This window comes from Homo sapiens, chromosome 13, assembly GCF_000001405.40.
Source record: "Homo sapiens chromosome 13, GRCh38.p14 Primary Assembly".
Lineage (NCBI taxonomy): Eukaryota > Metazoa > Chordata > Mammalia > Primates > Hominidae > Homo > Homo sapiens.
The window spans coordinates 90057929-90073939 of NC_000013.11; the positions used below are offsets into that span (position 1 = coordinate 90057929).

At 32.2% G+C, this 16011-nt stretch overlaps 1 long non-coding RNA gene across 1 annotated transcript in view; it reads right to left on the bottom strand.

Moving 5' to 3' along the window:
* Positions 1 to 2318: 2318 nt before the first annotated feature.
* LINC00559 (long intergenic non-protein coding RNA 559) overlaps positions 2319 to 16011 on the bottom strand; it is a 59471-nt gene continuing 45778 nt past the window's right edge. Inside the window, exons 5-6 of the long non-coding RNA NR_047489.1 lie at positions 8800 to 8882; positions 2319 to 2684 (exon numbers count right to left, since the gene is read on the bottom strand). This is a non-coding gene — a long non-coding RNA (long intergenic non-protein coding RNA 559). The remainder of the gene's footprint in view (positions 2685 to 8799; positions 8883 to 16011) is intronic.

Below are 16011 nucleotides of genomic sequence, written 5' to 3' on the forward strand. Positions count from 1 at the left end.
GCAAACACTTTAAAATTTTACATGTTTTAGGGTAAGAAATATTTTTTAATATCATACTGTGATTTACTGACATTTCAGCCTTGCTCGTATTTTCCAATTTCTTCAACTATAAATTATGTATGATAATTTTCCTCCTGAAAATAACTAGATTTACATGGCAATAAATACCTCATTCTGGTCATTGTCAATTTACTATTTTATAATTATGATTATTTTAAGGAATCTGATAATATTTTAATTGGAGTTTGATTATATGAGAAATTTTTGCACTTGTTAAGGTGAATACATTACAATATTAATTGAAAAGATCACTTTTCTTCCTACCTTCCACCTCAGAAGTAACAGCCTCAAATGATATTTTCTTTTACCAAAAGTGATCAGAAACAATTAGAAAGTGTTATGTTTTAATAATCGAAAAGACCATTGTATATTTTTTAAAACTTTAAAGATTAAATTCAACTTATTTTGTATTCACTTTGAATTTATTTTCAAGTCTTCCAAAATTTATATTTACCATACAAGGGGAAATCCTTTTTTTATGCAAGAAACAGAAACAAAATTTAAGAAAAGGGTTGACAGAGTATAATCAAACATGAAAAAGACTAGGGAATAAGACTATTAGCTTTATAAACAACAATGCAAATGTCTGGCTTGTGATCTTTAGGAGTTATTAGTAAATAATAATAATAAATAAAGCAAACTGTCAATAGGACAATCTTGTCTTATTTGTGATATATAGCAGAAGTAATGTAAATTCATACTTTTGGGCAATGATTTTTACCTCAAAACATTTACATATATCTTAGTCATGAGAAAGTAAAATGTTTCTGAAATTTTATTTTAATATCCTAAAAAATAATATAATGGGTGAAACAGAGATTTTAGAGTCTTCACACAACAGTGACTAATTCAAACGGGAAAAAAACAAAACAGCACGAAATGAGCTCAGTCTGAGAAGTGGGTACACTTTGTTTCTGTTTTCTGAAGACTTAGGCTTATAGGAGAGAAAATTAACTTGATGGGGAGCAACACAAATGCAGTTATCGAGTGACAAAGCTAAGCTAGTATTATTAAAACCAACATCACAACAATGAAAAACAAGGGCAAGATGTCTGAAATATACAAATTTAAATAAGCAAGATTCAAAGGATATGGAAGTTATAATTTATATAATTATGTAAATGATTGATCCTGAAAACAACAGTTGCTTGTAGTTTTGTCTTGTTTTAGAACCTGTAGCAATAGAAATTATGATATATCTATTCCATTGTTTAAAATTCAGAGAACAGATTTCTAAGAACTCATTGGAGCTTCTGAAATATATTAACCACTAATGTTACATTGCTTTAAAGAACCTCACATAAAATGTAATCATCTGCAAAGAGAAAATGTAATTTATGATTATTAGAATATAAGAATTATGATATGATTAAAAATGGTGATCAACGTGCATGCTCACCTATTTCAACAAAGCACAGCATGGTTTCGTAACAGACAGGAAGGTAAAGATGAATTTTATAAGAGATTTAGGTTACATATGAAATTATTTAAAACACAAATCACAGTACCTCCAGCCACAGGAGAATCATTTCTGCATGGATTTTTGCAGGTGGTAAATTGGTCTTGTTTATAAATAGATATAAATTAAATAAATCTGACATAAGGCACAATTGAGAGAATGGATAAAGCTGGATCTATTTTACAATACAATCCCTTGAAAAATTAGGTAATTTTGAAAAAATAAATTTAAATTATTTCCCACAGAGACAAGTTAACTGACTATAGGCAGAAAAAAATGAAACAAAGACGCAAACATTTTTTATTCCTTTTTTAAATTTTATTTTGTATGTTTACTTTAAGTGAAGTTTGTGACAAGGAGCAACTTATAATGGAAGGCCATGGGAGCGTATGAGCATTTGGTGAGTGCCAGCAGAGTCATGCAATCTCTTCCTCAAATTGACTAATATGTGTAGAACCAAGTACCCTTTTCAGTGTTCTAAGCATTCCTTCAATCCTTTGAATATGTCTGTGATAGTAGGAATCTCTGGCTTTTTCTTCATCTTGGCCCAATACTACACATGTCCTTGAGGGCATCTTATCTGTACTTTAATACTAATTTTACTAATTTTATATTCCCTATTAATTTTCTCCAGTTGCAAGCAACAGTAACTGATACTAAGAAAAATATTTATTGATAAAATAAGGGGACTAACAAAGGACTAGCTCAACATCAGTACTCAAGAAGGAAAAAATCAGGATAACTCTAATGATCAGCGAGTGCTGAAGTTCCCAAGTGAACGAAATTGGCCAAATAAATATTTTTACTCTCAGTGATATTTAATTTTACACAGTAAAGAAAAACATATTTGTTTTACAATTTTTAAAAAACTGTATATTTTCAGAATAGACTAAACTGTATATAATTTACAAATAAATGAAGAAATATCTGGGGCATGTTCGTACAATTTACTTGTTGCTAAGAGTGCATGAGCTTTCACCCTTGGGTTACAGTCAGAAGATCACTGCCATAAGAAGAATAAACCCGCTGTACCACCTCTGTCAGTCACTGCACATCTATTCACATTATTAGGAAAGAATCCTTGATTACATTCCCTTATGATGATGAGGAATTGGCATCAAATGGGGATTTCTGCTACCAGAAAAAAAAAAAAAAAAGAAATCTGCTGCGGGAAAAAAAAAAGCTATTAGAAGAAGATAATTTATACTAAAACAATTTCTTATGTAACAGTTATTATAGAACAGTTTACTATCATATGCCAATTAGAGTTATACTGAAATGGATAAATTAGTTCCAATGCTAGTGGAAGAATAATAAAGAAACTCTTTTTAACTGTGGAGTTAAATATAACTTTATAAGATAAAAATATGCCAATATACATGACTAGTAGATAGACTAGATCCATTTTAACTAACATTTATTGGATAAGTTTTACATGCCAGACATGTTGCTAGGCAAAGGGAACATAATGCTGAATGGGATATATATGTACAATTTATAGTTAGGATATATCCCAACTATAAATATATCCCAACTATAGGGATATCATATATAACTATATATATGTGTGAGTTTAAGGTCCGTTGAGGTAGGTAAACATTCTATGAATAATTATATAAAATGTGATAAATATTCCAAGAAATCTAAATTAGACTAAATAAATTCGTATGCCAGGTGATTCATTTATCCAGTTATCAGTTGAACTGAATATAGTGTTGTTTATAATACATTTAAGGGATAAATTAATTATAAAAATTAAAAGATAAATGATTTGAGTTAGAAACAAGAAAAAAACAATAAAATTAACACAAACATATCTTAAAAATTAGAAATGAACACATCTGCTGAAAACAACTGGGGTAGAAAAAGCAACAATATTTATTTAGTGATACTGAAGAGACAGGATAATAATCAAATTATGAAGAACAGTTAAAAATTTTAAATGTAAATAGTTTATGAACATTAATATGAATATTTAAATAAATATATGGAATATTTTCACAACAGATTCAAGAAAGAAAATAAGAACAAACCAATAAAGATGAAATATACTTGAAATATATATATCCAGAAAGCTTTCTCTAAAAAGGCATTGAGGGCAGCACTTTGTGAATTTTTAATTTTGAAGTTTTTTCAGAGTTTGGGAAAATATGGAGAGTCTTAGATGATTTAAATCATGACAAATCCAAAGATTTCAAAGTGAAAAAAAATATGAGCAGTCACATTGTAATTATTATGATTCACGAATGCAACGTAAAATAAAAGCTTTTAGTTGCACTACAATAATAATAGACCAGATAACTTCCTTTTCACTTGAAATATGAAACAAGAGAATAAAAATATTAACATCACAATAAATCTAAATTAAATAATTTCAAAGACCACGTACAATGTTTGTGAAACAATTTTAAAAATGAAAAATAACCCTAGCCAGTAACGGAGAAGATGCTTAGGGTAGTGCCTAGAAACTAGAAAGCACTTAAAAACCTTTGCCATCCCATATTGTTGTTATTAGTCATAAAATAGTGCAAACCAATACAATGTAGACAATCTAGAGGAGTTACAATTTCAAAATGTTTCAAACTGTAGCATTTGTATATGTGTTTATGTATGCTCGTGTATGTAATAATTATATTATTACAAATGGATTATTTTATACTTTAAATATAGTCAACATCCTTCTACATATCTCATCTTTTCACATGGAACATAACCAGTTTCTTTTTAAAATCAGTTTATATAGGTAACAGAATCCTGAGAAATCCAGTTGATAAAGCAAAATTGAAAAAACTAGTTATTTCAGCAATAAATATTGCTTTAGAATTTTAAGATGCATAACACCAAATTTTCAAGGTAATTTTAGAAACTTATCACTATGATAGCTATTGCACTAAACAGTTGAAACTTCATTAACGGAACATAAAAATTAAAAATACGTAATTATAATATATCCAAGTGATAAGACATTTGTTAATAATTGGTAACAACCTAGCACATGTATACACATATATACATATATACACACTCATATATATGATTTATGTGTATAATTTCAATATGTCTTTATTTTTGATATATTAGTTATCCTTGGAAACTTGTAGAGAGGAACATCGGATCAAGTCTACAAACATCCTACAGCCATTGTAATATCACTTCTGTCTTAGCATTATCTATGGCACAAATTAAAATAATTTATCCTCATTCAGGTCTATGTCTTCAAGCTCTGCTCTCCAACATCTCTACCTATGGTTTTAAATTCACAAATTCTTAACCTTGTGGCACATCAGTGGTCTCCCTGGCAGGCAGATGGAATTCAGCAAATTGCATACTGGCTCTTAAAGTCTCACATATTAAGTGTTTTGAAGTGCTTGAAAGAATTAGGCAATTGAATTTGTAATTGTAATCTGAAGTGTCTTGATTATTTTATGAAGTTTATAAATAGTCATAGATGTTTAGAAAAATTTAATCTGTCAAATTTACAAGTTAATTGAGCATAAACCAAAGAACAAGTGAAGACTTAAGTGGTCTTAATTTTATCAAAAAACGTATTTCTTTTATAAGTACAGTGAGAATTGCAAATTGAATATAAAGTTTAAGGAAATACAAATAGAAACAATATTTTCCTTGCATAATAAGCCTCATTGAATTTTTCAAAGGTGTCTATTTGCTTAATTATTTTTGAGCTCCAAGAGGAAACACTTGGAGAAGAATATGAGATAATCTTCATATCCAAGAAATAATAGTGCCACAGAGCTACAGATGTCCACAAAACAGCAGTCTTGCTATTGTTCTGTCGTCACACTGAGGTAATATTAATATATGGATATATGTCTCAAAGTAGACATGGAGACACTAGTGAAGTTTTCATAGGAACACAGACACAGTATTCTAATTGCATAAATTCAAAAGCAAAAATTAAATTTACCTATCCATTATATATCTTTATTTTTATCTCACTGTCTTATTTTTCCTGACCTATAACATTTTTCACCACTCTCTAGTAAATTTTCACTACTATGAGTAAAATATAACTTTTGTCTTTGTCTGAGAAAAATTTCCTTTCAAAATTACAGCCAGTACCTGACTGACAGAACATTGTATAGCTGTTTTTTATTAAACATGGCCCTAGGAGAGACTTATCCTTCATGTCATTATGCTGCTCAAAACATTTACCTAACCAACAATCTCCCTGTAATAAAGGGAGAGAATTTGGGTTCTGACAAAAATAAAAAGTTTTTTTTGCATCATGAAAGTTTGTGCGCCTCCATGGAGTGAGGGGCTTCTGAATGTCAGACTTTGAGAGGAAAATTTTGAGGAATATTTGCTTTTGTGTTAACTAACAATAAATCTAGAATGTTAAATTCATTCTGTGAAATACACATAAATCAATAACTGCTGTTAGAAACCTACTGAGTTAAACACAGAAGCTGGTGAGCAATTTGGAGAACACTGAGCAGATTCAGAATAAATACTACTGACAAGGGAGCATGTAAGCAAGACCACCAATGGAAACATTGTTTGCCACCTATAGATATTCTGAGGCTACTGTTCTATAAAGATTGAATGGCATGAATTCTGAATGATGTACCACTGTGTCAGAAATAGTTAACTGTGGTACAGATTTTTAATGGTAGATTAGGCAAGTATTGAAAGTTTCATATACCCAAATTACATAAATTTATGTGAAAGTGTTTATGACATTCTAAATGAAAAATAAAGCCCTAATACCTTTATAATGCTATTTAATTCATTTACCTTTTGATATGGTTTGGTTGTGTCCCCACCCAAATCTCATCTTCAATTTTAGCTCCCATAATCCCCACATGTTGTGGGAGGGACCCAGTGGGAGGTAATTGAATCATGGGGGCAGGTTTTTCCCATGCTGTTCTCATGATAGTGAATAAGTCTCTTGAGATCTGATGGCTTTACAAAGGGCAGTTCCCCTGCACACACTCTGTTGCCTGCTGCCATGTAAGATGTGCCTTTGCTCCTCCTTTGTCTTCCACCATGATTGTGAGGCCTCTCCAGCCATGTGGAACTGTGAGTCCATTAAACTTCTTTCCTTTATAAACTACCCAGTCTTGGACATATGTTTATTAGTGTGTGAGAACAAATTAGTACACCTGTATATTTCTCTATTATTCAGTATTATTTGTAACTATGTTTACAAATAGTTTATAGTTAATAAGTAGCTTATATATGCATGTGTATGTGCATAATGCAGTAGAATGTATGTATAACGCAAGAGATTAAAATGAATAAATGACAAAAACAAGTCAAAAGGAAAATAAGAGAAAGTAAAACACAGAAAATGTAATTTGATAAAAAGCATGCAAATTCTATAAACTAATGAGAATGGAATGAGAATGATTTGGTGAAATATTTGTCTTGCACTTAATTTTTATAGTTTGTTCCAGGACAAACTAAAATAAGAAGCAGGCCTTCATAACATGGAAATGTTATGCAACATTTGCATAAAAACAATTAGAGCAGGTCATATGAATTGATTTTACAAAGAGACAAATAATGTTCTCCAAATATTCAGCTCATTGATAGTACAGTTTGATCTAGTGATCGTATTTCCCATGTCAGGAAAAATGAGTAAATTCTACTTCCAACTCCATTTAAAATAACACCACATTATGTATCTTAATATTATTAAAAATAAATGAACCAGACTATTGATGGTAGTGCGTTTGAGTATTTAGATGGCTGAATAATGAGTGATCAGTATGATTCAGGTAATACAAGTATCTATATGAAGTATTTTTTTGTAGCTTTGTGTATGCATTCTAAAACACTTGATTCACTGGCAATATATTTTTAAATGACTTTAAAATAATTACTGCGTATTTTTATGGAAGTATTTAGTTTAGCTAGTTGTATGTTAGAACTCTCAGTGCATGTGATAATAAAATCACATCATCCATGCGTAAGCAGATGAGGTAGTGTAGAGTGGTGAGTGAAAACACAGCTAGGAGAATTGCACCAGTCCTACCATTAACTAGCATGTGACTTTCTGGAACATAAATTGCTTTCATTTTCTTATTTTCTTTTTCTGTAAAATGAGTTTCTTTATCTCTAAAACCCTTATAAAAATCAAAAGTTTATTAAATGATTAAATCATTCAGTATTTGAAAAGCTATTGGAATAGTATGTAGGACATGGTAGATAATATGTTAATGTTATTGTCTTAAGTTGGTATTAAAAGAATGAGTCATAGAAGGAGAGGCTGACAATAAACCTTTTTTAATCCCAGATTAACTTCATTATCTTTGTGAAATCTAATTGCCAATAACAGGTTAGCATTAAAGAAACACATATGAGAGTATAAAAAGCAATGCCTCTTAACATATCATATCTTACATCTTTAAGGGCATTTAAAAATAATGCCTATTTTAAGAAATATTTCTAAAAATATTATTGTTACTAATGGTTATTTAATAACAGAATAAAATGTTATTAATGGTTATTTGTGGACACAAAGATTAAAAGGTGTCTGGGAGTAGTTTTTTTACTTCCAAACAAATACCTCAAAAAATATTTTGATTACTTTTTATTTATGTTTTGTGTCGTGTATCTTTTCCAAAATTGCTCATAGTCAAAATTGTAATGTATGCCTTCACACGGGCATGTGTGTGTGTGTGTGTGTGTGTGTGTAAAGAGACAGAGGAGGAAGGGGGTGAGAGAGAGAGGGAAGCAGAGAGACTAGAGAGAGAGAGAGGTGTCAGATCCTGTACCAGATATTATAAAAACAGTGAATAAAGGGAAAAAGTTTCAATCTTCCTGTTTTTCAGTGATTAAAGCCTAATTATGCAGAAATGAGATTCTTTGCAGCAATTTTCTTTAGCTATCTTTCCATACACACACATTTCTATCATAACCTCAGCAATTTTGTCTGAGTCTACAGTCAGTGCTCCATTTCATGAATTTGTATTTATTTGTTAATCTCATGAATTTGTCTTTATTTGTTAATCTCAGGAATTTTTTGCTAGGGGCGTAAGTCAATACTTTTGCATTTAAGTCTAGATAATCTGAGCAAGTATTAGAATAAATACTTTAATGTCTAATAATATGTTCAGGTGTTGACCTCATACAAATAGCATTGAATACATAATTTGGCTTTCAATCATTGGAACACTATCGGTATGGAATTATTTTCTGAATGAACTTTGCATTTTTTTCTGTCCCTGGAAGCACATCACATAGGTAAACTAAATAATGTATATCTCTATTAAGCTCACAAATAAAATTATTAAGTGAGATGCTCAATGTCTTACCAGCAAGTTGTAGTAAAAAAGAGAATGCAGGTATTGTGAGGTGTAGTTCAATGCTGAAAGTCACTTTGGCATGATGGCTGGTTCTGTGAAAGTAAGAGGAACAGTTATTTTCTCATTCATATTTTCAGGGGCTTTGAGTAAAAGTGAACTAGAAAAAATACATATGGTTTATAACTGTGAATTTTTTGACAAAAATTCTTTTATAGGCAACATTTCATTTATATAAATCATTTCCTGTCCAATACTTGTAGTCAGTCTGAAAAACTAGGATAAGGAAAAACTGATTTATTATTTAAGGAAAAAAATCATTCCAAGATTTGTCTATGTTTTGCAATGAAACATTATTATGGTTAAATTCATCACCAAAAGATTATAAGTGTACTGTTTCCTAAAAAGCATATTTTTTAATTTTAAATGCATTGGATCACATCAAGAAAAGTTAGAGCTCGTTGAAAGATTTACTTAATAACTTGTATAAGAGTTGCCAGCCATTCTACAGCCACACTCTATGAATGTGTCAGCCACACAGCTGTTAGAATCTTCAGTTGTTCTGACAGCAGGCAAAACCTTTGTTAAAAGAAGACCAACACAGAATAAAACCTACTTTTGGAAAATAATCATTTATATCCCTTAATTTTACTTTATTGAATACAGGACAATAGGAAGGATGATGTATTCTAAAATATTTACTGGAAAGTATCAGAGAGTATGTTAATTTTTCCCACTTCTGATAGTAGTAACACGTATTTAATGTTGGCTATTACCATTGTATTGAATGAAAGACAATAGAAACTCTAGGCTTTCATTTATTTATAATGCAGTGGCATTTTCAGTCTCCTCCAATGTATCTCAGTACCCTTTATTTTACATTTGGGTATAGAGATGAATAATATTTTCTATGCTCCTATTCCAGCTATTTATTTACAATGAAAAATTGCACAGAACTCTGTCTGATAGAAAAAAATCAAAAGCTACTTCTCACTATTGCTTGTGGTGATTTTAAATAAAAACATTTTTTCCTTATACTTCAACATTGTTCTTCATGAAACTAAAAATCTACAAACCGTTTGAACAGGAAATTATGACTTTTAGATTATAAGTCTTCGGATAATATTACATTTCCTTTTAAACTATATTATGTACATTTCAAAATACCATCAATTTAAATATATGTGCTAGTCTTTATCTTGTTTTAATTTATTATTTTACCTTATCCATTATATAAGATATGGCCTCTGATTTTTTATGTAAGATTTTCTATTGAAATGAGAATCTTTACAATTTTGTGTGGATCACAGTTGTAATCATTTTTTCACATATAAAATGTCTTTAATATCAATGGAACTAATCCCAAACTAAATTAAATCTTTTTTCTTTCTTTAAATAAATTATTATTAAGCTTCTACTTTGCTTCTCCATCCCCTTTTGCTAAACCATTAAAATATCTGCCCCAATGGCCGGTGTGCATGTTTTTTTCTCAAAATGTGTTTGCAGATTTAGTTACTGGAGTGATCATGTTAAAATTAAAATAAGGTTTACACCCCTTTAAAAAATATTTCAGTAATGCTCCATTGCACCTTTATAAAATTTAAAATCCTCAAAATTATATGATCTTTCGGATAAAGTCTTGGGCCACACTTCTTCCTATACATAGCTTTGCTCCAGAAATAATAAAATACTTGCAGCTTCCAACAAACAACCTACAGTATCTTCTAGAGAATCTGATCTCCCTTCTGTCCTCAGTAACTTTCCATACTACTTCACCACAGGGTTTCCATGTCTAGCAGACATTACTTCCTCAGGAAACTCTATGTGTCAGTTACCTATTGCTGTATAAGGAACCATCCTCAAATTTACTAGATTAAAACAGCAGTATTTTCAATTGTTCGCACACGAGTGGGCTGGCAATTTGAGCTAGGGTCAGCAGAAAAGTACTTTTGCTGTCTTCTCTGTAATCACTTGTGAGGCTGCATTCATCTGGTGCCTTGAAACTTGAACTTAATGATTCAAGACTGGCACTCACGTGCCTGGAAGTGTCACTTGCTGCTGGCTTGAGAGTCTACAGATCTTATATCCTCCAGTAGGCTGGATTGCACTAGATTGTGCTCCTTTAAATGGCCACATTAGGACTGTGTTTCAAAAGAGCACAGTGGAAAACCACAAAGCTTCTTGAGACTTAGGCTTTGGATGGTCAAAATCTCACTTCCTCCATGCTCTATTGACCTAGACAAGTCACAAGACACGTTCAGAATTCGAGGGTTGAGGAAATAGTCTCTACCATTGATGAGAAGAGCAGGCAAATCACATTGCAAAGGAGAATGCAAAGGAGCTTTGCGAACAACCCACCAACTGTTTTTAAACTTCTTTTATTGTTTTAAATTTACCTTAACTTTTTACACATTTTTGTAGTAATTTTTATAGTACATTTTTTCTCTATTTTGGGGATTTTGATGACAAAGTTCTATGGGAAAATATATTTATGTATTATATCACACACACACACACACACACACACACACACACACCCCACACACATTTTTTACACCATTCAGAGAGAGAACATTTATTTTAGGTACACAACATTGATACCAACCTGTGGCAGCAGTGTCTTTGTCTACTCAGCACATGAATATAAAAGTAGATGTCTTGATAAATAAATGTATTTTTAATAAATATATACAGTATGACTTTGCAGTGTACCATTTACTCTTCCCTGTGTTTAATTAATATATTGAATTCCTAATGAAACTTGGCTTCAGCAGATTAGGAGCAACACCCACATTCAACCCTGATTTTAAAAACAATGTTATCTTTCTTTTCTTCTTTTCTCCTTCCTACCTTCCTTTCTTCCCTCTCTGTCTCCATCCCTCTTCCTTTCTTCTTTCCTCCTTCCCTCTCTTTCCTTCCTTCCTTCCTTCCTTTTTTCCTCCTTCCTTCCTTCCTTTTTTCCTCCTTCCTTCCTTCCTTTTTTTTGGTCCTGCTTTCCTTCTCCCCTTCTTTTTTTTTTTTTTTTTTAAATTTCCTTTATTTTGCTCTATAATGTGGTTTTGTAAATAAGTCTAATTCATTCAAAATTTTTTATTAATTAAATGGAAACAGACATTATTTATGTTATGAGGTCAAATTAGGTTAATGTACAAGAAAATGCTTTATAAAATCCTTGATAAACGGAAGATACAAACATTAGCTATTTAATGGATATAATTGCAATATAAATGCTTAATAAAATGTGATCAAAATAATAAATATTAAATATTTACCTAAGTTGAAATTTGTACCTAGTTATTTTTTAACAAACATTTAACTAGAATGTGTAAGTTATTGAAATAAGCATAGGGGATACAAGGCTACAATGTCTCTGCTTATAAAATATCTCCAATTTACTAAACAACTACTGTTATTTTCTTTTTTGTTATGCCTTTTTAAAAGTACTCCATTACATTTCAAGAATGAAAACATCTAAACATCTTGGGCACTCAATGAGGCAAAGCACGTTATGTCTGTGTTATGGGTGTGTTGAACACATCTGGCAGCAAAACCATTAAATTCATATATAGCCTCTGAAACAAACCATGATAATTAGTCTGCACATGATTGCCTATTGTATGTTATTTATGGATTTTTTTATTAAGGAAATTTACATTTCTGAGTTGTTTTACTAAAAGTTCTATCTGGGTTTTATCTGGGTTAGAGTTATATATTAAGTAAATATAGACTGATTATCACCAAATTAAAAATTGTATTCTCACTTATCGCCTTTTTACTGAATAAATATTGTGCTGAGAAAGTGGATATGATGTAACTAGCTACAGCCATTAGGTATTGCACAACATAAAGAAATAAATGGCTCATGCTTGTCAAATACTGACTTGTGGAATCTAGAATGTTCTGATGTTGTTTTAGACAGATATAGATTACTTTTATCTTCAAATTTTATACTTTAGCAAATTAAAATTACACCTACTCAACCTCATCATGCCAGCAGAAAATCATTATTATTAGCATATTTGTTGGTTAAAAATATCTGATTCTGGAGCTTAATATAACATATTCTTGATATTTAACAATAACTTTTTGATATTAGATTTTAAGACTTTTATCATTACAAATACAATATGACTTTTTAAATGCACTACTTCCATTTTCCTATTTTGTGGCTCAAAAATTGTATGTGCAAATACTCAACTCTTATAAAACTGACCTATGTCAGTGCTATGTACACACTGGATATTTCTTTGTTCTGGGAAGCTGTAGCATACATTCAGCACCACTCCTGCTTCCTCCCCATTAGAGGTCAGTAACGCTAACACCAGTTGCCCTCTTACGGTGTGACATCCACTAATATTGCAACATATTGAAATTGTCAAATATGCACTAGGGGAGAAAATCACCCCTGGTTGAGAACCACTGAGTTGGATTGTATACTTGATCTTCCCTCAATGTCACAGGTCAATGACAGTAGATCTTTTCTCGGGAGCACTATTCAGATATTGTGTATTTGCATAAGTACTGGGAGATACTGGAGTTTCAAAAGGCAAAACTGGAGTTATAATCCCACAGGCACGCACAATTGAGTTAACAGCTGACTGAAGCCAATATAACATTGTTAAGGGGAAGAATCAGGGTTTGGACTTTAACCCAAGTTAGGAGACCATGCACATCAAACACTATATCTCACTGCCTCTTCACCTGGTCAGTGCATAAATACACAACCTAACACAGTTTTCTTTGTTCTTTTTCATTGCAATTGGATCTTAGCTATCCAGTTATTTCTTCACATATAATGTTGTCAATACCCCAGCCACTGAGTTAAAACTGACCCAGAATATCATTTACTCTCACCCTGTTATTTGCTTCTACTTAGTCTCCTTTATATAGTCTTTTTCTATGTATGTTCTTGTCTTAAATATCATATTATTATATTATTATATTTCATTTCCTATACCAAGACTGACCAATTTGCAAAAGAATGGAATCGAAATTCACATATATATATAATTTTTATTTATTTTTGAGACAGTGCCTCGCTCTGTCACCCAGACTTGACTGCATTGGCCCAAGCAAGGCTCACAGTAGCCTCTAACTTCTGGGCTTAAGGGATCCTCCCATCTCAGCCTCCCAAGCATCTGGTTCTATAGGCGTGCACTGCCGTGCATGGCTAATTTCCTAATATTTTGTAGAGACAGGGTCTCACCATCTTGCCCAAGCTGCTCTCAGACTCCTGAACTCAAGTGATCCGCCTGCCTCAGCCTCCCAAAGTTCTGAGATTACAGGCATTAGCCACTGTGCCTGGCCCACATATATTTTTTGAGAATAAAATGTGTGTATATTAAATTCTGATTTAAAACAAATTTAAAAATAAACAGATTCAGAAAGAAAAAAGATGAAGTTAAAATATAAAACCTTCATGGTAACAAATATAAATTGTATTTCTTTGAGGATAGATTATCTTCTCCATAAATCATTACATTTTGAAAATAAAACTAAAAAATATTTCTTATTTCTGGACTTCATCATTTTTCACCTTCCCTCTTCTTTGCTGTCATTATTTTTCTATTTTTGCCTTATTTTTTATTGCTAAACTGGGAAAAACAAAAGATTTTTCAACTTAAAAGGCAAATTTCTATCAGTTTAATTTTTCTTTTGATTAAAGTCAATAGAAAAAGCTTCTGTCACAAAATGCAAAGCTTCTTTCTTAGCTAATTAGCTAGTACGTTTTTTCTTTAAAAAAATCTGTCATAGTAGGTATCTTCTTGAATGAACTTTAGATGTTAACAACAATGAAAGCCCTTTTATTATTGGAAAAATAAAATTGGAAATAAGCCATCTGTTCCACCTTCTGTTACTGGAGCTGTCCCCTAATAGAATGTCTGTAGCATATTTTCAGAACGGCAGGGGAAAGAGGTGACTAATAGACAAATGTGTTGGTTAATGTAATTCTTAGCAATTTAGAAATACATAAAATTAAAGTGGGAATAAATATTAATTAGATCAACTTTTAAATGACTCTCAGAGTAGCTCATATTCCTAACCTTCAAATCAATATTTTGCAAAGGAATGCTTATTTTAATATCATGTACCATCATCTTTGAAACACTTAATTAACGTTAACAAAATCTTTCAATAACCCAAGGCGTGGGCGTGGTGGCTCAGGCCTGTAATCCCAGCACTTTGGGAGGCCAAGGCGGGCCGATCACGAGGTCAGGAGATCGAGACCATCCTGGCTAACACGGTGAAACCCCGTCTCTACTAAAAAAAAATACAGAAAATTAGCCGGGCGTGGTGGCGGGCACCTGTAGTCCCAGCTACTCAGGAGGCTGAGGCAGGAGAATGGCGTGAATCAGGGAGGCGGAGCTTGCAGTGAGCCGAGATCGTCCCACTGCACTCCAGCCTGGGTGACAGAGCCAGACTCCGTCAAATAAATAAATAAATAAATAAATAAATAAATAATCCAAGGCATTTAAGAGTATAACTGAGTATATAAATGTGTGGATTGATCATTTGGTGGTGGTGGTGGTGGTTGTTTCCAATCTCTTCTAAATATTGTCCTGTCATTCTGGACATATATAAAAACGAAATAGAAATAAAAACAAGAAAAAGTGAATTTAGGGCTGAGCGCAGTGGCTCATATCTGTAATCCCAGCACTTTGGAAGGCCGAGGCAGGTGGATCACTGGAGCTCAGCACTGTTGCCCACTCATCAGCCTGGGCAACATGGTGAAACCTGTCTCTAATAAAAATACAAAAATTACCCAAGTGTGGTGGTGGGTGCCAGTAGTCCCAGCTACTGAGGAGGCTGAGGCACGAGAATCGCTTGAACCTGGGAGGCAGAGGTTGCAGTGGGCTGAGATCACGCCACTGCACTCCAGCCTGAGTGACAGAGCAAAACCTGGCCTCAACAACAACAACAAAAGTGAATTTTAATCTTTGTAATATTGTAATATATAAAGAAATAACATACTACAAATTAAATGAAAAAATATCTTACAGAGTTGTTTGGATGTTAAAGCAGTATAAAATACATGGATTTTTCTCATTAGCAGTAAACAACAATATAATCAGAAATTTTTTTGAGGAGGGGAGGGAGAGGGGGGACAGTGTATGGCTCTGTTGCCCAGGCTGGAGTGCAGTGCAGTGACACCATGTCGGCTCACAGCAACCTCTGCCTCCCAGGTTCAAGTGATTCTCCTGCCTCAGCCTCCTGAGTAGCTGG